Raw genomic sequence first — 23481 nt, 5'->3', positions numbered from 1 at the left:
GGCAAACACTTTCCACATTTTGGGGTGTTGGAAGGGGTCTAAGCAGAAGGAGGTAAGAATACAGGTGGGTAATACAGAATCACCTCCAACCTGACAGGGGTGAAAACTACCTGAGGAAGTGAAGAGTCATGCCAAAGTAATCCAGAACCTAAAATGAGCTGCAGACAGCAGGAACTAACATTTGCTGAGCATCTACTATGTACTAGGCACTTTCACGCATAATACCTTACGGATTCTAACCACTCTATCATAAGGATTATTACCCACTTTTATGGATAGAGAGCCGAAGTCTCAGAAGAGTTCATTGCCTTGCCAAGGCCATGCTGCTGCTCTATGTATTGTGCCCCCACATAGCCCACCACCATGGGCACTGCCCTCACTCTCCCCTCATCTACCTCCTCTGCCCTCTTGCCTCACCAAACACATCCCACACAAATACATCCACCCCCAAGTCCATTCTCCTCTCTCTCATAATCCTTAACCAGCCCAGCCTAGGCCTTTTTCTAGTTGGAGAAACTAAGGCATAAATATCACTCAGTGCCTGTGTATTTCAAGAAGGAGACCTGGAGGGAATCCCAGGAATCCCTGGCCCCTAGCATTTCTGGGCCTCGGACAAGAATACAGATGGAGGTCCACATACCACATGACTAATTAAATCAAGCTAACAAACTAGTATATTCTAGCTTTCAACCTTCACAATGTACATTTGTAGTCTTATGGAAGCCCAGGTTTGAATTAAGAATTTTTGGGCTCCTCCAAGTTCTGCACCAGAACAGGGTGAAGGGAAGAAACAAGCTTCCAGCCCAGTCCCCCTTCTCCTCCCACCCTCAGTTAGAGGGATTTTGTGTGCACTTGTAGACTTCCTTATCTGCATATCTAAACTCCAGCCACACGTCCCTTGGGCACTAGAGGTATATCCACCAGTAGGACGGTCCGCCTCAGTAGGAAGAAGTTTAACACAGGCCCTACAAGTGGGCTGAAGCTACTTAGCAAAATATTCTGGGGCCCCAGATATCTCTCGTATGGGCCTCAAGGTGGGGTACAGGCTCTACCTCTTCCCATTGGCCAGAGGAGGGCCCCAGAACACTCTACTAGAGGAAGGCTCAAGGAGGGCCTTTTAAACACTGGGCCCAGGGCAAAAGCCCTTCCTGTCCATACCTAAGTGCATTACTAACATGGAGAATCAGAGCAAAAGAGTGAGTAAGAGTGTTGAAGAGGGAAACAGGGCCATGAGGAAAAAAACTTTTAAAGTTAACTGAGTCAGAGTTCCCAAAACTTTCTGCCAGAGTAGAGAGAAGCCCACAGCTTGGGAAGCAAGGAGAAGAGACAGCAGGAGCTGCCTGATTCATGGCCCACCAGGCTCCCTGCCTTAGAGCTTTTTAGCTAAAATCCTTTCCCTCCTCTGAGCCCCCACCCCTCAACCTCTGAGTTCAGCTCTGTGTTATCCAGCACTCTTTTCATAGTACTCTTAAAAACAAGAAATGCAGTGGTAGAAAATTGTCAAGTGAAACCAAACATGTACTGGACAGGTAATTACCAATAACGGGCACAGCTGCCCTATCAGATCAGACTCGGGAACATTGCAGGACATGGGCCCAGCCAGCTTAGGGGCCAGGAAGGCCCTGTCTTGCAGAAGTCCTTGAAGACTCTACTCTGGGATTATAGGACAAGTTTAGAATGTTAATCAGAATGTGAGGACTACATTCAGAGGGTTATGCAGAGTTAAGTCCTTAGTTAATGCTTTTGGGTGACAAGAATGGCAAGGATGCAAAGACCCTAAACAGAAGTCTCCCTCTGGCCCTTCCATTCCCTATTCTCACACCAATTTAAATAAGGTACTTACCAAGCGCATGAGCAGAGAAATGGATTCTCGATTTCTGGTTTTAAGCTTGTCAGTCTCCTGGCCCAGCTGCAAGAGGCTGACAGAGGCCACCTGTAAGGGAAGAATTTGTAAAGCAGATTTTTATACAGGTCAGTATCAAATGGCCTCAGGCTGCAGGAAGTTAAGAAAAGATCAAGGAGAGAGTTAAGAAGTGCTAGAATGTTCCTGAAGACTCAGGGTGGGAAAGTGGCAAATCTCCTAGGTTTCAGAGATACATGTTGCCTATAAGCCAGCCTGGATCTCACTGACCTCCCAGTGCAGACAACAGGTTGCCAGGAGTGCTAGGGGAGAGATTGCAAGGGGCAGGGAAACGACCTAGAGCAAAGGCAGGTGATGTATGCCAGGAGATTAACCTCTCTTTTCCTAGGCAGCCTCCAGACACCACTGTCATCAGGCTGTTTATGGCTGACTCCCTATCTGACTAGAGGCAGTGAGCCTCTGATTCAGACACAGCTCTTGCTCGTGGTATTCTCCAGTCAATTCCCAAATGGCTGTCATCTCCATCATCCCCAAACCCCCAAAGGATCAAAGAAGAAACATGATTCATTGTATCCCAGGCCCAGGTGACCTGCATTTAGCAAACAGAGGATAAAAGGGAAGGCAAGGGTGGGGGATTCCCTTCTCACCCCTTCTCAGAGATCTGGTGTGAATCCTCTTTGCATTTAAGATGCTGAGAGCCAGGTCTATCTGGTTGGGTGCCTCAGCTTAAATAGAGACACACCAACCAATCTTATGATCCCTGACATGTACTTCTCAGAATGAGGGTATAATTCCTGAGAGAACAATATGATCCGCTGTGTTTCCTCCTGGAAGGAGACAGATGAGGCCCTGGTTCTTATATCGGGACCATACTTTGCAAAGAAATAAGCTCTTTGTTACTGAGAATGCTCAAGCAGGCAGAGGGGAATGGACCATGTATCAGAAGTATATGAACAAAATTCCTCCATGGAGGATTTAGAATGGAAAATTCTAGGGCCTATTGTATTTGTTCTGAGTTTTCCCAGAGGCAAAATTAAGATCCATGGTGAGAGTTACAGGAAGTCAAATTTTGGCTAAAATTTTTAACATTTTTTTTAAGAAATTGGATATGACCTACAGTGGAATCCGCTGCCTAGTTTTAAGTTCCAGTCCCTAGAAATCTAGACCATTGGTTCTAGTGAGATTCCCAGACAAGCAGCATCAAGATTACCTGGGAACAGAAATGCACATTATTCAGCCCCACCCTAATCTACTAAGGTAGAAACTCTCCAGGTGATTCTGATTTACATTAAAGTTTGAGAAGTAGTCATTGATCATTTGTCCATACAGAGTTAGAAAGGGCCTTAGAGATGATAAAACTCAGTGTCTCTACAACTTGAATGTGCATCTGATCTCCCAGAGGCCTTATTAAAAACACAGAGGCCTAGATTTACCCTACAATATTCTAACTCAGTAGGTCTGGTGTAAAGATCAGGAATCTGTATTTTAACAAGCTCCCCAAGATATTCTGATGCATACCAAGGTTCATGGATTCGGTTTAATCTGAATTCATGGGTTCAGTTTAATCTCACTGTTTTATATATGAAAATACCGTGGCCCCAAAATCTTGGCACTTCAGAGGTCACACAACTACTTAATGGCAGATCAAAAATCAGAACTCAGATTTTCTGACTCTTTGTCCAATGATCTTTCCAAATATTCAAGCAGAGGCTGAAACACCAGCTGTTAGGAAATTTAGAAGAAACTCTTGCCTTTCACATAGTAGCTTCTCACTCTTTACTGAATGAATTAGGTGGGAAGTTAGACTCAAAAGCCTGTTCAACGATAATTGTCTACAGATTTAAGTCAAACCAATTCCAGCCCTTTGCAATCTTCCATTCTTTATAACCTAGACCCACTCACCACCAGAAATTCCTTGAGGTGAGTTTCAATGTTCTTGTTGTAGAGCGTGAAGAGGGCAGCAGACACCTGGATGATGGCTTTGGTCAAGCAATGAATATTGTTGTTGTAACCTAGGTTATTATTGATATAGATGGAGAGAAAAAAGAGGAAATGACAAAGTAAGCCACTCCAGGATGACCCAAACTAGTAATTTCTCATGTTTTCAGGCTGAGCCACCAGTATTTGACACCAAAAGGATGAGAAGGCATTTTGAGATTAGAGGCAGGATATTCCTATGAAATCTTATTGAAATCGAATTATGCATAGTTCATTCTCTCATTCTGGTTTTTTTTTTTTTCAGGGTAGGGGGTGTTTTGGTGTTTTGTTCCTTTTCTTTTCTTTTTTTTTTCTTTTTTTAAAGACAGGGTCTTGCTCTGTCACTATGCTGGAGTGCAGTGGCGCAATCATGGCTCACTACAACCTTGACCCCTTGGGCTCAAGCCATCCTCCTACCTCAGCCTCCCAGGTAGCTGGGACTACAGGCCACCCTGCCCAGCTAGTTTATTTATTTTTGTAGAAACAGGGTTTCACCACGTTGCCTAGGCTGGTCTGGAACTCATGGGCTCAAGTGATCTACCCACCTCACCTTGGCCTCCCAAAGTGCTAGGATTACAGGCATGAGCCACGGTGTCCAGCCTTCAAGTGCTTTTTGAAACAGAACTTTACACCCAAGTCAGAAGTCTATATTTTCCAGTATCTCTGTCTCCTCTCTCTACCCCAGGACACTAACTTGAATAGCACTGGTGTCTCAAACCTACCCCTTACTTACCATCCTTCTCAATGCTATAAAAGGAAGAAGGGTCAGTGGCAAGGAGTGGGAGGGAAACTGCCAGAAAGATCAAGAGCAGGCAGGCCACCTTATATTCCTCCTCAGGAGATGAAGTATCTGGTGAGAGGGAAAAAGGAAAAGAGGAAAAGTGAATAAAGTCAGCAAACAGAAGTTATCTGTTACAGGGGTCCTACTTCACAGAATTGCTGTGAGGATCGCAGGAGAAAATATCCATGAAAACACTTTATAAAGCCTATGGGCAAGTTATTACTTAATTTTCCTGAAGAAACAGGACTAGCATCCACCTATAGTGAAGGGCCTGAGTCCTGGAGGCCTCCCTGGCAACAGGGCAGAACTTTCAGCCAAGGGCTCTGCTGATGTACAATGCAACCCTAGGATGCCTGTCCACTGCCTGATAGGATGGAGAGGCAGAAAGAAGACAAAAGGTTCTCACCCACCATGAGAGAAGAAGAAGGGTAAGTCTGGCCATTTTGAAAGGCCTTAATCCTAGCCCCTTGGTTCATCCTGTTCTGAGTGTGTATAGGTATGACTGAAATCAGAGGAAATGTGTAATGGAAAATAAAAGTGTTAAGTGTGAGATGGGAAGAAATAAACAGTGTCAAGGTGATTATGTGGAGGGAGAAAGCACAAAATCACTATGGGGAGTTTGGGTGCTATACCACACAACCCACTATTTTGTATTGTTCTCTCATTGTTTCATTTGCATTAATTTATTTTCCCAACCAGATTGTAAATGGCTTTGAGCACTTGCAGAGCACCAAACAGACTCTCACTTAGTACTTTTTAGCTGACCGGTAGATCAACTAGTTGGAACCTGAGGATGTAGATCAACTAGTTGAAACCTGAGGATAAATCTAAATCGCCTATGTAAGTATTTTCTGAAGGTTAGGGTCCTTCCTTCACTCCCAGCTTATATCCTCTGAATATATAATCTCAAATAAAGGCTTCTTTGACATTGACATTTTTTCACCCAAAATAAGGCCCAAGCCCTCCTTTCCCAAATCTCGCCCCCTTTCCCCAATCTTACCAGCTTTCAGATTAGCAATGGCAGCCACCAAGGCTGGGTCAATGTCACAGCCCACACCTGCAGCAGATGCCAGCTCAAAGATACTCAAGGTCACCTGGAGAGAAGAAAATAACATTCTAGAGAGGATTCGCAGGACACAATGGCTTGACAGAAGGAATGCATAGCCAGGACTTTTGGATCACAGGTTTAATTTTTTTTTTAAAGATGCTTTTATATATATGTAGAGAAAGAGAGAGTCTCGCTATTTTGTCCAGGCTGGTTTCAAACTCCTGGGCTCAAGAAATCCTCCTACCTCAGCCTCCCAAAGTGCTGGGATTACAGGCATGAGCCACAGTGTCCAGCTAATCGTAGATTTTAAACTTCTGGTTTATTGTCATCTTCTCTATATATTCCCTTCATAGCTCTCCCTATCCTACAGGGAAAATAACCCTTTGGGACACTCCATCGTACAAATTTACTTTTTCAACTTCATTTTCCTAAATACTTCCTTTATTCGGTGCTGCCAGGATAATTTATTCACTGTCCCCAAACTACAACTTCCTCTCTCATACTCTGGTTCAGGTGCTTCCCTCTTTTGAGGGTCCTTTTCTCTCCTCTATTTATATCTGTTACGTCCATCCCTTAGATCTCATCTTCTCTGTAAAGCGCTACCTGATTACTTCAGCCCAAAGCCAGCTCTTCCCTCCTTACGTTGGTACCACTGACTTAGCATTGATCACACACAGCATCTGGTGTTAGTTATCTTTTTAGATGGAATGCAAGACTCATCTCCTTATCTTGCCAAATAGATAGCTTTTTAAAACCTCATGGCATAGTGAAGGGAGCAAAAAGCTTTGGAGTGAGACAGATCTGGGTTCAAGTCCTAGCAACACCACTTATTAAGTGTGTGACCTTGACTAAAAGTTACTTAACCTCTTTGATCCCTCATTTTCCCACCTATAAAACTGGCATAATAACATTTACCTCACATAGTTGTTGTGAAGATTAAATTAGACCACACATCGACCCTAGTGACTAACAGAGAAAATGTGATGCCTTTACATCCTCTTCCTTTATCTTAAAGTCAGGAGTTTTGCATTTCTCTTTACCTTCTCTAGTGTTTAACATAATGCTGAGCACATAGAAGGCATTCAATAAATATTGATTGATTGATACCTGAATGTCTCATTGTACTTACAATCAGGTTCCCAGGACACAGCCCCAAGCCCCTACTCCCATACTAAGTACCTAGACCCCTTTTTAGATTTAAAAAAATGTTTTTTGAAAGAACAAGGATAATTGTTTTAATACTGGACAACTAAGTATCTTATGCAAGTAATCCCACAGACTGGCCAGAGCAATGGCTCATGCCTGTAATCCCAGCACTTTGGGAGGCCAAGGTGGGCGGATCACTTGAGTCCAGGAGTTGGAGACAAGCCTGGCCAACCTGGTGAAACCCTGTCTTTACTAAAAATACAAAAATTAGCCAGGTGTGGTGGCATGAACCTGAAGTTCCAGGAGGAACTCGGGGGGCTGATGCATGAGAATTGCCTGAATCCAGGAGGTAGAGGTTGCAGTGAGCTGAGATCGCACTCCAGCACTGGGCAACACAGCGAGACTCTGTCTCAAGAAAAAAAAAAAGAATCCCACAGACATACCAACATACACACACTTTGCTGTGGTACTGATACAGAAGCCAAATCTTTGCCACCTTCTGTTCTGCCCTTATTTAAATCCCCTACTACCTAAATGACCGTTTGTGGAACCACGGCCTCAGAGATAAGGAACCTGGTTCATGAGGTTTTCTGGAGGAAGAAAGGGATGGTTGAAGGGATTTTATCTTTTCTTCTTCTAATCTTCTTGCTCCTCTGAGGCAGTAACAGCATCTCTGATGGACAGGCCATCCTCCCTCTCTGCCCCTACCTGCTTATTTTCACAGGCAGGCAGAGCCTAAAGATTGGAGCTACCCAGGAGATATCAGCTAGACAAGCTCCTGACAGCCTAGAGCATTTGGACCAACATCAGCAGGTGCCAGAAACCCAGGCTCAGCTTAAAATCAAAGATCTTTCAAGAGGGGCAGCTATCCTAGTGAAACACTGCCCCCTCACTGCCCCCACAGTCACTTGCCCCTCATGATTTTAGGCAGATAGAGGTGGAAATTTCACAACTCTTTTGATCTCAAAGTAATGAAGATTTTCTTAACACATAACTTTAATTCTTCCTGCTAACTAGTTTCCTCTTAACACAGACCACTCTCCATTAAAGGAATCAATTATAAGAGAAGGAGCCTGCCCTATGCATTTGAAGGATTCTATTCCTAGGCTCTAGCTGTATTTCCTGCCATAGCATACTTCTTAGTTCCAGATGATTCAAAAGACAAGATGACTCAAAGGTGGGAGATGGGTGGGAAATGGATGCTTAACTTATATTGTCTGTGGAAGCCCTTCTTCCTCTCACCATCTCCTGTAGTAAATGGGGGTCTGAGGCAGGTGAAACAGACATAGAGGAACCAGAAAGCTTAAGGATGGGAGGAAGAAAAGGCCAGGAAAAGAAAAGACTGAGGGCAGGCAGGGTGGGTGGGAATGAAAGGAACAAATCTTCCTATAAACAGTACCTAACCTCAAGACTAAAGAGCGGACTTGTTTGCACATAGTTTATCTAATTTGCACAGTGCTCATATCAGGTGAAAACCTACAGATACTATCCTAGGTCTTACCCCTCCCCCTCCAGTAATGTCTCCCCAACCCTCATAGTGTCTCCCAGCCTCCCACTTCTCTCCATCCCCCTACATCTTGCCAGCTCTGCTCTTTCTCTCCAAGAATATTCATCTGACCAGTTTTCCTATTCAAACCCTCGCCCTTATCCCTATGGTGTTCTTCAGAACCCGCTCTCCCTTACAAGATCCTAGCTACCTCCTTTTCAACAACAAAAGTCTCCTAATTAGATTCTACTTTGCACTCCTCCATACCTTGATGTCTGTGTCTGGAGTGACAAACTCCTTCAAGCACTCAATGGGACCCATAAGAAATGGGCAGTGGGAGGAGAAAACCTGGAGGAAAGAGAAGATAAATGAGTCCACAAGACCATGACCAATGCCTTCAAAAATAGGTAGAAATAAAAAAAAAAAAAAAGGAGGGGCACTCAATTTAGATAAGAACCTAGCCAGCTTTCCAAGCCATCCCTCTCCTTATGCCTCTAGGTTTCCTAAGCTCATTTATTCCTAGGGATCTTCTAGGATCTCTGCCAAATTACTCTCCCTCTTCTCAATGCTCACCAACCCCTTCTGAAGCAGAAGTTAAAACTGATTCCCGCAATACTTCCACAAATTATCATACAAACCCTACCCACAGAGGTATCTGTGACTCTGTGACAGACCCCTCCCCACCAACTCACCTCCCGAAGTCCCTCTTGGGCCATGGCCCTGAAACTGAGGATAACCCCAATGATGGTCATGCGCTTTAGCACATTTTCAGCCCCTGAGGAGAAAGAAGCGTGTTAGAAAAGATAATTTAGAGAGGGATTGGTGATGATTTTGATTCTACAGACCCCGCCTAGCCTCCAGATTCCTGAAAACCCTGTCATCTGCAATGTGATTCCACAGCTCCTTCTCACTATAGGGGAAGAGGATGCTTACCTGTCAGCTGGGGCAGCAGGGAAGCCATCAAGTCCGGCTTGCTAAAGTTGGATCTGATCTGAACAAGTATGTCCATGTTTTCCACCACCAGCTTCTGTAGTCCAGGAACACAGAGACATTAAGCAGGAAAAGAAGAGACCAATGTTACATCTTCCCCCCCAGTCTCCTATACCCACCCTCTTTCCTCAAGGTAGGATCTTTTCCCCAAGGGATTGTTTCCATAGTACCTTCAGCTCCACAATCTGAGAGGTCACATGCCACATCAGGTTTTCACTCAGGAACTTCATGCCATAGGGGCCCAGGAGTTCTGCCAAGGCCCGCATCTCTGGAACAGAGTTACAGAGGCCCCAGATGGGACTCAGAAGGCACTGGAGTATTTGTACAACAGCTATAGGGTAATTTGAATATTTAAAATGTTTTCCAGCAAGAAAAGAAAATGAGAAGTCAAGGAGCAAAAATAGCCTAAAATCCTACATTCAAGTGACAAGTCTGGCAAGTCCATGGGACATTTACCCTCTCTCCACTGGTACTCACACCAAGACTTACCACAAATGATAACTAATTACTTTACTTTCCTATAAGAATCTATACTTTCCCGTGTTCCTTTATATGACACTTGGGTTTGACTCTTGCTGTACTAGCTATACTAGTTTTATTAGACGTAAGACCTTAAGTCATTGAACCTCTCTGAGCCTGGTTTACTTCTCTGTAAAATGAGGATATGAATATCTGCCATGAACAACCCACAGAATTGATGTGAGAGTAAATAAGATACATTATAAAAACTTTGGAAAATATATGGATAAAGGAGTATTATGATGATGTTATGAGTCCTCTGAATTATGTGGCATAGGAAGGATCATCGTGGTTTTACAGGCAAGGGGGTTAAGTGCTTGTCCGGAGCCACTTAACCACAGCAGGGGCTGGTACTGGAAGCCTAGTGCAATGTCTTACTGCCCCTTACTGCATCCCAGCAGATACAACTATTTCCTCATCTAAGATCTGATGTTTATTGTATGTTTTTCCCTTTACTTCCCTTACTTAGTGTCCCACTGTCCAAATTTTCCTCTCCTTGAGCTACCTTTTCTTTTTTCATAATCAACACACATCCCGCAGAGTCTCAGTTCTTTATTCCTCTAAATCCTTCTTTTCTCTAGTAGTCCCAGTGCTTTATCCCTTGCCACCCAGCCTGCTCTGGCCCTTTGTGAATTAAATAAAGCCTGCCTGGGGAAATCCCATGTCAGAAACACTAGTGACAAATCCAGATAGGAAGGAGCTCTAGCTATGATCTCTGGCTGTGGGCCATCCCAGCAGGGAAAACCATGAAAGACCAGAAGTAACAACAACAAGAGACCAGTAGAAGAAAGGCAAGTTTAATATCGCTAATAAGAGTTCAGAGAGAAATGGAAGTCAAGGCTCCACACTCAAGTCTTTCAAAGCAGGACCAGTGATCTCCACCTTCATCAGTGACAGAGGAAATGGAACTGGTCACAGCCACTGACACAGAGTCTTGTCCACAGTAGATGTTAGACATTTTTAGAGTCAACCTGTTTTAATAGGAAGAACTGAGCTCAGAACTATGAAAGGATTTCCTGACCGATCAACTTGGATAATGCCGCAATGGCTGACAGAGAGGAAGAAGAGCTGAATCGCCCTCTGTAGCTGACAGAAAGGAGACACACTGATCTACCAGTTTGGATCTGCCAAAGCTCCTTACTCCAGTCTTCTCTACCCCCAGCTAGCAACCCTAGGGCATCCTTCTCTTTCCATCTATCTATTTTTGCAGTAGCATTGCCCCATCACTATGGCAACCAAGGGAAATTGGGGTGGGGGTGGTAGAAGGGGGAATCAGCATTACCTCCTGCTGCTTGTCATTTGTCAGCAAGACCTAAAGCTGATTTTAGAGGCTGCCTACAGTTTGTGGGTAGAGTTGATGAGAAGGGGACATCTGAAACCTGCAGCAGGTAAAGCGTAGGGTCAGCTTACTGATGGAGGCGGGATGATGGGAAGGAGGCAGAACTGGAAAACAGAACTGTGTACTTTGGCTTTCTTAGCACCCCCCAAAGAAGAAGACTGGAGAGGACAGCGTCACTGGAACATCTTCACCCTGTCCCAGATACTATGCAGCGTCCCTGATTTATATGGAGGTGAGAGGAAGGAGAAAGAAGTAGGATAGTTCATGAATTAGTTGGTAAAAACAAACCTATTAAAAAGGATCTTGTAGTTTCAAACCCTCTTGAGAAAGGGAAAGGCTTCCCATCTCATTCACTACACACTCCTTACCTGTCTCCCCCTGAGACACAAAAGCACTTCTAGACACTGGAAGGCAGCGCTGTACAGTGCTTAAGCCCCCAGTTCCTGGAGTTTGACTGCCTGGAGTCGAACTCCAAGTCCTACTATTTATGAATGTGTGGACTTAGGCAAGTTCCTTAAACTCTCTGTGTCCCAGTGTCCTCATCTGAAAAACGGGAATAAGTGTATCTATTATACCCCAAGGCTGTTATGAGGATTAAGTGAGTTAATATGTATAAACACTTAGAACTTAGCCCACAATAAATGTCATGTATCATCTCATCATCGTTATTATTAAACATCAGCAATCCAAACACTGGCTAAGACTCTAAAATGTATCCCTAAAGCATAAGACGCTGGCTGGGGGTGGTGGCTCATGCCTGTAATCCCAGCGCTTTGGAAGGCTGAGGCGGGCAGATCACAAGGTCAGGAGATCGAGACCATCCTGGCTAACATGGTGAAACCCCATCTCTACTAAAAATATATATATATATAAAAAATTAGTCCAGCATGGTGGCATTTGCCTGTAGTCCCAGCTATTCGGGAGGCTGAGGCAGGAGAATTGCTTGAACCCGGGAGGCGCAGGTTGCGGTGAGCCAAGATAGTGCCGCTGCACTCCACCCTGGGCAACAGAGCGAGACTCCATCTCAAAAAAAAAAAAGAAGAAGAAGAAGAAGAAGATGCCATGACAGCAGACCACTATTTAATAATTCCAAACAGGAGAATGTCCTCCTTATACTTTATCCCTTACCCTTCACTATTAGGTTGGTGCAAAAGTAACTGTGGTTTTTGCAATGAAAAGTAATTGCAAAAATTACTTTTGCACCAACCTAAATACATGTCCTAGTCTTTTATTCTCTGTGCATTGAAGGAAGGGCTCAGCTCCTTGACAAGAAGACCAGGCCCTGAGCTCACCAGAGATGTCAGAGAACTCCTCTGCACTGAAGTTCTGCTCCCCTTCTCTGGGCAGGCTGACGAAGGCCTGCATGGCTGGGGAGAGGATGATGGTCCCACTGCTTGCCTGTCTAAGCAGACTTTCCAGGTACCTACAGGGTTGGCCAAGAAAACATAGATTAGGATCCAATCCCTTCTCCCTACCAGCATTCCCTACTACTACCACTGAGCTCAGAAAGAAAAACTCTGCAAAAGACTGGGGTAGGGAGAAGAAACTCAAAGAAGATGGCACAATGTTCTAATTAACACCCCAAGCTGATGGATCAAAAACAACTGGCAGTACTGGAATTCCACTTTGCCTCTAACCTGGAGGGTATTTTGCTATACCGTCAAATGCAATAGCATGCACTCCCCTCCCTCAACCACTGCTCTTTTCCAACAGCTGTATTCCCCTCACCCTTACCCTCTGTCAGGTAAGACAGGCTCAACCTGGCAAGAAAAAAGTCACTACTTAATTAGACTCCTTTGAAATATACTCTCAAACCTCCTGGGCAAAGAGGTACCTGTGAGCACAGGTCATCAGTCTCCAAATATTTCCTCCTGACCTCTGGGCAAACTTAAAGGAGCTGGGCTACAGCCAATGTGGGTAGAGGAGGGCTTGACCAACCCGCCTCTCCCAGGCACTTGCTCTGGGTCTGTATCTAATAGACATCACAAGCTAACTGTCAGTGGGCCAAACCCAGTCAAACTTTTTTTTTCCTTTGAATTTACGCTGAAACGGCTGACAGGGGAAGAGGGGCTGAATCACCTTCTCTGGCACCTATGGAAAATTCTTTGTCAAAATTTTGAAACAGATTTTTACATAAAATATAAGGATTTAGTAGGGCAGCAATCAGGTGGAGCTAAGCGGTGGCTGTTCCCTTTAGAGGGGTATTCTCTCACCACCTCCTCAAAGTCTCTGCCTGGCCCATGTGGCACATCCATTTACCTTTCCTGCCTGGCCCCAACTGGCATTTGCATTTGCAAACTTTGTTTCCCCTTGTTCTGGGGGGTTCTTCTTTGCAGCCTGTCGCCTACTGAGCTGATTTTGGGTTAAGAGCGCCACCCAGTGGCTTGGGGAGGTAGAAATCCAGCTCCTTTCCATTCCTTAACATGTCAAAGGAAACAGTGCTGATTCCCACCTTCTCCAGTTGCAGGGAGGAGGCTCCCTTCTCTATTAAGAACAATAGTCACATCTGGGGACAAGGAGACGTTCCAGAGAGATGGTAGTAGGCAGATGGTTTTCAGAAGGAGAAGTAAGGGCAAAAAGAGAAATAAGAGAACTTTGGAAAGAGGAAGAGAGATCATTTGAAATTGAAACAGTAAGAATCCAAAAAAGAAAGGTTAAGAACTAGATATTAGAGAGAAAAGGTCAAATAACTGCAGGGTAGGCTGAAGGATGTTCCAGTGAGGGTGAGAAGGAAACTTCGTGGTGGACAGAAGGGGATCTGGGCTTGTCTCAGGTTATTGCTCCATTCCTCAAGGAGAAGCAACCCTCCATTTTGGAGTCTATGACCCTGGGAGCTAAAATGCTCGGGCCCTGAGGTCCTACCGTGTAAAGGAAAAAGTGCCAACACAAAGTAAGGCAGTGGAAAAGCCTAAGCAACACTGACCAGTTTGTGTAGAGTGTGGTGATTGTCTGTTCCCCACAGGAATCCAGTGGTTGTGTCTGCTGCAGGAGGGCGTTGCGGATGACTCTGGAAGCATCTGCACCCAAAAACTGGGCCAGTGACTGTATGAAACCAATGTATGCTTTGACTCCTGCCAACAGCTCAGAAGGCCGTACGATCTCCTGGGTCGTGGCATTGTAGCCAGCCAGCCACACAATGGCTCTAGGTGATTTAAAAAAAAAAAATTAGAATTACAATCATAATGGCAAATACAGTAACAATTGTTGAGTGTATATTGTGTTCCAGGTGCTGTGCTAGGATTTTACTACACATATTATCTCATGTAAACCTCATAGTAACCTAATAAGCTAGAGACAGTTATTATCCTCATTTTTATAGATGAGGAAACTGAGACACAGAGATAATAAATCATTGCTGACGACCACACAGCTGGCAGTGGCAGAGCTGGGACTTGATTCCAGTAACATTTGATCCCTAATTACTGTGCTTTTCTTCCTCCTCTGGAGAAATAGCTCAGGTAGTAGAAGACCTGGGCTCTCTAATTCCATCTAACTCTACCTGACAGTTCACACCCTCTGCATTCCCAGTGAAAGTATTTATCTTTTCCCCTTGAAAAGAATTAGTTCCGATCACTGCCAGAAATGGAAAACCATGCTTAGAAATCCTTGGAAGTATATTATAATCCTGAGTAGCCATGGCACGCCAGGGCTGAATAGAGATCATGCGTGGCTGGCATGCAGCTATAGGCAACATTAGAGAGGGGAGAATAACTATCCACACTATATTATTGTAGGGGCACACCAGCAAGACCCCTCACCACTGGACCCCCAACTCCTTTCAAAATACCTCCCCCAAGTATCTGAGATTTCACAATTAGAGTCAGTCCTCTGACTAAGGACTTTTTTCCTTGTTAAAATGTAAACCACAGAGGAAAGAGGTAGTTTTTTGTTTGTTTTGTGTTTTTTGGCAAAATGCTTATGGCAGGGGAGGGGATGGGAAAGGTGGGGCTGGTCTGCTCCACAAATGAAAGGGAAAAGGTTCTCAAGTACCACTTAAGGGAAGATAATACAGAAGGGACAGACTAAGGGCAAGACTGATCTAATTTAGAGTTAACACTGAGGCCAAACCTCTAGGCCAACCTTAGGGCTTTGGGAACAATGATGTCAGTGAAGCAAGTATCAGAGATTATTCGGGTAAAACTTGAATGTCACACTCATGCTGCTCCAGGGCCTGGAAACCACCACCAGCATCTGAAGGCTTGCACATGGGCCATTATCAAACTGTCATCTTCCTGACATTGTGTATGCAACTGAGACACTTTCTTCCTTATAGTTAACGTGTATGTAATGAAAACAAACTAATTTAACTTCACCCAAGCAAAAACCTCAATTGAAAAATAAATTTGCTTCTCTGACAATCAAAACATAGATTCATAACTGGTTTCCCTGCTTCTGTCCTTGCCCCCGCTAATGTAGCCAGAGTAAAATATTGAGTCAAGTCTAATCATTGCAGCTTTGCACAAAACCTGCCAAGGCTCCCCATCTCCCATCTCACTCAGAATAAAAGCCGAAGTCCTTACAATGACATATAAGCGCATACACAATCTGCCACTTTTCTGACCTCCCTCACCTTACATCCTACCAGTCTCTCCCAGGCTCATAGTGCTGCAGACACACTGTCTTTCTCCATGTCCCTTGAACCTAGAAGGCATGTTCGAACCTCAGAGCCTTTGCACTTGCTGTTTCCTCTACCTAGAATGCTCTTTCCCCAGTAGTTACATGCGTGGCTTTCTCAGTGTCCTCACAGGTTTACTCAATTGTTACTTTCTCAAAGAGGCCTTTCCTGGACACTCCATCTAAAACTGCAACACCTACTTCTGCCACCACCAGCACCACCAGCACCGCACATCCTCCTATCTCCCTTTCCCACTTTATTTTTCTGCTTGGTCCTTATCACTATCTAATCTACTACGTATTCTGCTTTCTTATTTTGTTTATCTATCTTCCCCACTAGAAGTAAGCATGGAGGCAGAGGTTTTTATTTGTTTCGTATATTGCTGTATAAACAGCTTTTAGAATACTCCTGACACACAGCAGGTGTTCAATAAACATTTGTTGAATGAATGAATAAGCTACATACTCCAAAAGAAAACACAGAAGTGCTGAGACTTATTCATAATAATTCTTCCTCCCATTCACCCACTTGCAGACTGTAGTGCCCAATTCCAATGTGCATCTTACTTTATGGGGCAATGGAGTGAAGCGCAAAGTGGAAGCTAGGGATGTATTTTATTAAAGCCTAACATATGTCAGGAGCTTTGCACTCATTACTAACTTTAATTCTCTACCAACTCTCAATTATGGGTAATTCTCAATTATCCATAAATAAGGTAAATACCATTATCCTTACTTTACAAGGAAAGAAACTGGTTCAAATAAGTTGGACGATCTGCTCCAATGTCTTAGCTAATGACCAGGTTGTCAACACAGGTCTGCTCACTGCAAAGGCCTTGCTCATTCTACTAAACCAGTGGTTTCAATTTAGGGTGTTCATCAAAACCACCTATAGAGGTTTGGGGTTCCTTTTGTTTGCTTTTAATAGAGATGCTTGGGACCTATGCTAGACTGACTGCAACAGAATCTCCACCGTGTGGCATGACCACCAGGATGAATGTAATGGGACCCAACTTTGAGGACCACCATACTACACATAGAGGTATATGGTAGGGTATGAAGACTACTGTCCAAACAGAGGACAAGGAAAGAGTGATACCTGTTGAGTCTGGCCTCCAGGTGGCTGCTGAGGTACTCAGAAGGGAAGATAGTATGTTCAAACACGGAGAAACTGTATACATGATTCATTGTCAGTGCCAGTTCTGTCAAGTTTAGGTGTAGCTTGTCCATGCTAGAAAGGAAAATGAGCCTGGATTACAGGTCTGGCACTGCCTGCTAATGTCTAGGAAGGACGTGTTGGGCCCATGACCCAGTTTCTAGGGATACTCAGCCTAGAAGAGTACACATTGATGTAGACTTCAAAGGCAAAGTAGGAAATTCGCATTTAAGTGCTTTTCCATGCCCCTCATTCCCCACCATGACTTGCGCTCTTTTCTTTCTGTGTCACCTTCCCTCTTTCCTTTCCTGCCTTCTTTGATGCAGTACCCAGCTGGCCATCTAGGGCCCAGGTCCTCACTTGGTGACAATGCTGCGGTTCTTCCGGTGACTCTCAGCTCCTGGCTTGTCCCTCTCGGGCTCTCCTTTTCTGGGAGTCTGCCTCTGCTTCCTGGTTTTCTTGTTCTTGGCTTTGCTGATTGTAGTGGCACAGTGCTTAGGTAGAAGCTTCAGAAACAAACACAGGTAAATGGAGAAAGGGGATTTGTTGCTAAAACGGCACCTGACAGTTATAAAAAGGTTGTTGTCCATTGTTGTCTGTTATTTTATCTTTCTGCCTTCCTCTCTCTTTCCTTCCACACACCTCTTTCTTTAATGGGGGCCTATTCAGAATGTGCTCACCTCTTTCAGTTTTCATAAATATCTCTGTGTGTACAGGCTCTAAGTCTCAAGATGGCAGTGTCTTTCTGGGATCAGAGCCTCACTCCCACACCCACATCCTGAGAGAACCTTTCTTAATGGAAAAACTCAAGTATAAAGAACAAGATCTAAAAGTCCCACTCAGTTGTGCTTTGCAGGGTCTTCCAATGTAGGAAAACAGTTATTTTTTGCTAGATGGGACAATCATCTCACATACTACATCCCTTCCTATTCTATCTCATGAGACAGTTACCCACATCACCACAGCCCTCCAAAGATTTGGAGTTCACAATGTGGCCAGCATTGTCTTTCCACTTTTTTTTTAAGTAGCATATTTCTTGCTAATTAGCTTAAACATCAACCTGGCATCTCTTGTCTTCACTCAGACATCCTAGTCAGACATCTCCTTCAGGGTGACTGGAATTCTCTCCATTTACTCCAGAGCTGCTGAGCATGAGCAGGGCATGTCTGGAAGCTCCTCAGTTGAAATCACTCTGAGAGCAGCATAAGACCCACACAAGGAAACCAGTTTTGTTACTTTTAGTCGTGCCTTCTTTTTTTAAATCCAAACTCTTGGCTGTTTCAAAAAAATCAAGTCCACCTTGATGGAAAAAGATGTGTCAACCCTGAGATTGTGCAAAAGATTATGTGTCTGTAGCAGATTCTGAAAGCAGTTCCAAAATATGTAATTCCACTAGTAATGGCAATGCCAGTAATTATTTACTCAGAATGTTAACTTTAGAAAGCCTATACTCATTTGGTTGCGAAAGTTCTGTATGTGTGAAAATTATTCGCATCATGTTTTAGTCATCCCTGAGACGACAGCACAGAGCAAATCTCTTTACCAGTGTTCTTGCAAGTAGTAGTTATTCATATTGACTGATGATCTCTTCTTGGCTTTCTCAGCCTTTTGGCTGAGATTAAGCATATTGAGTAATGAATATACCTGCAATTGTACTCATTTGCATATCTTCTTGCATTAATTATTTAAATTTCTTTCAAACATGTATTTATACTCCCTTTTCTCTTAAACTGGGACATTCCCCAAGGGCAGGAATTGTGTACCTTCCTTCTGGGTCCCCAAAAACCCAGCACAGGGCTTTGTGCCCGGTAAGTACCAACTAATATAGCAGGTAACATTTATTGAGTGCTTTATGTCAAATATTAAATATACCCTATTTAATCCTTAAGACACTTCTGTAAAGAAACTATTTTTATCCCCATTGTATGTAATTTGCATATGAAAAATAAAAAGGTTAAGTAATAATGTAACTGTGCATCTGTATACACACACACACACACACACACACACACATACACACACTCCCCTTTACCAAGCCTGACTCAAACCCAGGAAAGGTGGGTAGTCTGGAAAACCCAGAAGACTCCAGGGCAACAGCAAAACAAGTTTCTCATTTTCAAATTTTCTGAAATTTAGGTTGAACTAATTATGACGAGGTGCTAAGAGTCAGTCAAGGGAGGAGAGGGGAAAAATAAGAAGAAAAAGGCAAGAAAGCAGCCTTGAGGATAAACACAGAAGAGGTGCTTCAAAATGTCCAGAGAGCCACAGATTAAGATGCAGATAGACAGAAAGATGAGATAAGACAGGTGACCTGGGGGCCACTGTCCTTAGTATGTGTACGCAGGGCAAAGAGAGGAGGGGTAAATTAGAAAGTTAACTCATCTCTCAGAACTCTTCAAGTGAGAGCACAGATTTTGTTGGAGTGCAGCTGTTCAAATAAGAGTATTTTTAGACACTTCTATCCAGTCCTAAGGGAGGAAAGACTGAAGGGACTACACTAAGAAAAGAATTCTGCCATAAACTCAAGTACAGAAAGGCCCTAGCCCTACTTCAGAGAAAGAGTTACTGAGCTTGGCATCTGAGAGGGAAACAAAGTTAGATAGAGGGGAAGGCACTGAGCGCTGGCAGAGGGGAGAGTGAAACAGAGAGGGCTGAGTCTACCTGCTCGCTCAGGTTTCGCTGCTCAGCACAGATCTCCAGGACGCAATTGCTGGTCTGCTTGGCCAACTCTTCCAGGAAGGAGTTGCAGTGGTGAAGACCATGGTTCTTGAGGTGGGGGTACTATGGGAAAGAGGGACCAAAGAAGAGACTGTCATCACCAGCACGGCCACTTCTTCCTCACAATACTGCTCTCATCCCTTGCCTGAATCTTACAGAAGATTCCTACCCATTCCTACAGAAGAAGAAACTGAGGCCCAGAGACAGGATACATCAAGCTGAGATATTTAGGGACTCATATCATACATCTATGTTTATACCCTTTCTGGGACCAAAATCAACCCTTGGAATTGTGTTTTGGGTGATAAGGATGATGACTAGAAAGATGACAGGGTCTGGAGATCAGGATACCTACCTCCTCTGGGCACATCTCATGAGTGCAGTGGACAAAGTGAGCACAAATCAGGGGGAAAGCAATGGCATAACGCAACATGGCAGATTCCTCCAAGGTCATGGCAAACATCTTCTCAAAGATACGAAGATGAAAGCTGCAGAGAAACGGGAAGACTTTAAATCAAGATTTAGTCCTTATTAGTAAAGTGGTGAGTGAAAAATAAAGGAAAAGAAAAATAGAGTTTAAGAGCTAGTCCCTTTGAGGCGGAGAGGATATTCATTCTTTCAAAAAACATTTACCGATATTTACCACTCTCTCCTTAATTTCTGTAACCCTTAAGATAGAACGGAACCCAAGAAACTTAATCCTTCCAGACTTTTATAAAGGACCCCAGGCAAGTTTAATGATAATCTTCTTCCCTTTCCTTGCACAAAATTTGCTATTCTTCCCTTAGAACCTTGGCATGATTTGGGCCATTCCCCCTAATTTAGAAGTCCTTCAGTAGTGTTAATTCACATTCTTCTCAAAATTTAACACTCAGGCTCCAGAAAATCTTCTCAAATTAATCCCATGAGACTGATCTTTCCTCAACCCATGTCCTCTCAACTTCATGTACTCTTTTACACTTTCTTACATTTGCAAGTACTATGTTGATGTCCTTTTCACATATAGGTATTATATCTCCCCAACTACATTGCTTACAGAAGGCAGAGACAACACATTGTGTTTTGTTGAATGAATGAGTAAGCTACATACTCCTTGTTTGATCCTTCAAAGGGTGGAATTATGTACAACAGTGGTCACCTAAAAACGTCAAGTGCTATCTAAGAAAGACAAACTCATTCAGCTCATTCTCCAAAGTCCCTATTCTCTAGGCCTCTCACTTATTTTCACTCCTGTCCACTAAAACTCAAAGTTTTTCCTGTTTCTTTTAAATCACAATGTTCCTAGAGTAAAAAAAAAAAAAAAAAATCTGAAGACGTTTCCAAAGAGAGGAGATTGAAACTAGACATATGGGCTAACTACCCCAGAGAAGCGAAGACTATGTAAAATCCAAATGGCTTTCCACAAAAGAACAAAAGAGAATACAGAACAAAAGGAATCAACTTCAAATTCCTATCACTTAAGATTATTGGTAAAAAGCTGACACAAGTGAGCTGCGGAGTTTGAGCACCTTAAGGAGATCTCAAAAACAGCAACACTTTCCAATTGTCTAGGGGAATGACAGTCCTCCGCAGAGGCCAGGCAAGAGAGCAAATGAATTGATGAAGAGCTCTGGTTCAGAGCTTGGTGGCTCTCGCCTGTAATCCCAGCTACTTAGGAGGCTGAGGTAGGGGGATTGCTTGAGGCCAGGAGTTCAAGACCAGCCTGGGCAACATAGTGAGATCTGTCTCTTTAAAAAAAAAAAAAAAAAAAAATTAAACAAAATTCTTTGAAGTAAGTGGCATAATGGAGAAAAAAATGAAAAAAGGAAACAATAAAACTTTTTAAAGAGAGCTCTGAACCAAGACATACCAGAAAGTAGACAGATCAGAAGTTTCCACCAGCAATTTTTCTACGGAGTCCAGCATTCGGGAGTGGAAGACAATGAGGTTCATCACCTTGGCTAAGTCAGGGTTCTCATGCAGGTGCAGAGGGGCCTTAGCCACGCTAGTGTATGCCTGCGGTTGGAGTTGGGAAAGTGTGGAGAAAAATAAGATGAATGAAAAAGGCCCCCAGCCTTGGAATTACAGTTTGGCCTGAGTATGTCTTGTCCAATTAGCAGTTTTCAAAGTTGACTCACTCCATAAAGCAAATTTAGGAGATAAAAAGAGAAGGGATTGTGGGGGAGGAAGAATCTGAGGATGAGAATCTTTAACAGGAACAGATCATTACCTGTAGGCGGAACCAGTCCAGCCTCAATCCTGAGAATTCAAATTTTTCTCCATTATCAACTGCAAGAAAAACGGAAGTATAAAAGGAAACAATAAACAGCACACCAATATCCAACTACATAGAATGGTAGATCCTCTTCAAAAACATCTTGTCCTACTTCCTGGCTCAAAGATCAATATTTCCGGATAAAAGATGTTCATCCTCACATATGTCCTGCCTCCCCCACCTCCCTCCAGTTACCTTGTTTGAGATTCAGAGAGGAGAGGATACTGACGAATGAGGACATGATGATGGACTCCTCCTCTGGACACACAGACAAGTTCTAAAAAAGGAGCTGCAGTTACTGTCAAGTGGGCACAGGTTCCCTAGGACAGAAACTAGGACCATGAGGCTCAGTCAGCGTATGAAGGTAGAAAGAATTGCTAAGTGTTAAAAACAGAGAGAAAAAGCCAAGCAAGAGATGAAGGAAACTTTCCGGGTTCCCTGCCATTCTAACATCCAGTTTCTCTTTATTTTTCTCTCCTATTTCTATGTAATTTCACTTAGTGGGGAAAAAAAGACGGCTGAGATTATTAGTCCTTTCTTTTTCTTTTAACAAATATGAAGGGGCAGATTGGACCTTTTTTTTTTTGAGACAGAGTCTCGCTCTGTCGCCCAAGCTGGAGTGCAGTGGCGCGATCTCGGCTCACTGCAAGCTCTGCCTCTCGGGTTCACGCCGTTCTCCTGCCTCAGCCTCCTGAGTAGCTGGGACTACAGGTGCCCACCACCATGCCCGGCTAATTTTTTTTGCATTTTTAGTAGAGACGGGGTTTCACCATGTTAGCCAGGATGGTCTCGATCTCCTGACCTCGTGATCTGCCCGCCTAGGCCTCCCAAAGTGCTTGGATTACAGACGTGAGCCACCGCGCCCAGCCTAGATTGGACCTTTTGACACCCAACTTACAGAGCATGAGATTCAGCCAGAGTGGTTTCAATAGGAAAATCACTAGGGATCATCCTGAAATTTCCAAAGTATAATCAATTAAATATCATACCTGAATGATGTCACTGAGCACAAGAGCATCAAATCTTGCCAAGTACTGAAGGTGGTATTGCTGTATCACTTTGATGTGTCTTCGGACCAGAGACCTAATCCCCTCCAACAAGAAAAGTAGCTCTGCAATGCTCCTATAAAGTTTAGGATGAGAACAGAGATGAATAAGACTAGAAATATGAACTGAGACAAACACAGTGATATCAGGGCAGAAATTGAGACCTCCTAAGGTCATCTGATGCCTCCCTGTCCCCAGTCCATCTAAGGACAAGGTTCTTAGCCATGTCAAGTACTAACGAGTCAGCATAGTCCTCAGGTGTCTTTGTCTTGGTGACATTCTCTGTGTGGCGAACCAGCCAGGTGACCTCATCACGAATGAAGGACAGGGCCATGAAAGCAAAAAGAGCCTATGGAGGGGGTAGAGACTATTAGAATTTTCAACTTTAAAAATGGATTTCAAAGCACAGAGTAAACTACCATGATAATATAGGTATGGATGTAATTGTGTAGCCACAACAGTGTGAATAATAAACATTCAGACTCACCAAAAAACCTCAACTACAGAACACACAATCAGGCAGGTACACATGTTGACACTGGCTCA

General features: G+C 43.7%; 1 protein-coding gene across 2 annotated transcripts in view; it reads right to left on the bottom strand.

The window, feature by feature from the left end:
• The window catches only part of NCKAP1L (NCK associated protein 1 like), a 50492-nt gene that overhangs the window by 7427 nt on the left and 19584 nt on the right, over positions 1 to 23481 (bottom strand). For both annotated transcript variants that reach the window (NM_005337.5, NM_001184976.2), the window contains exons 12-30: positions 23175 to 23284; positions 22879 to 23011; positions 22085 to 22166; positions 21845 to 21903; positions 21485 to 21630; positions 19991 to 20123; positions 19579 to 19698; positions 17278 to 17423; positions 16861 to 16992; positions 14071 to 14289; positions 12440 to 12570; positions 9460 to 9557; positions 9233 to 9326; positions 8992 to 9074; positions 8567 to 8647; positions 5620 to 5713; positions 4572 to 4688; positions 3764 to 3873; positions 1844 to 1933 (exon numbers count right to left, since the gene is read on the bottom strand). In NM_005337.5, coding sequence (NP_005328.2) covers positions 1844 to 1933; positions 3764 to 3873; positions 4572 to 4688; positions 5620 to 5713; positions 8567 to 8647; positions 8992 to 9074; positions 9233 to 9326; positions 9460 to 9557; positions 12440 to 12570; positions 14071 to 14289; positions 16861 to 16992; positions 17278 to 17423; positions 19579 to 19698; positions 19991 to 20123; positions 21485 to 21630; positions 21845 to 21903; positions 22085 to 22166; positions 22879 to 23011; positions 23175 to 23284 — 2178 coding nt within the window. The remainder of the gene's footprint in view (positions 1 to 1843; positions 1934 to 3763; positions 3874 to 4571; positions 4689 to 5619; positions 5714 to 8566; positions 8648 to 8991; positions 9075 to 9232; positions 9327 to 9459; positions 9558 to 12439; positions 12571 to 14070; positions 14290 to 16860; positions 16993 to 17277; positions 17424 to 19578; positions 19699 to 19990; positions 20124 to 21484; positions 21631 to 21844; positions 21904 to 22084; positions 22167 to 22878; positions 23012 to 23174; positions 23285 to 23481) is intronic.

The sequence above is a fragment of the Homo sapiens genome, chromosome 12, assembly GCF_000001405.40.
Source record: "Homo sapiens chromosome 12, GRCh38.p14 Primary Assembly".
Lineage (NCBI taxonomy): Eukaryota > Metazoa > Chordata > Mammalia > Primates > Hominidae > Homo > Homo sapiens.
The sequence above is the reverse complement of the archived record's forward strand: the minus strand, read 5'-3'. Positions and strand labels throughout refer to the sequence as shown.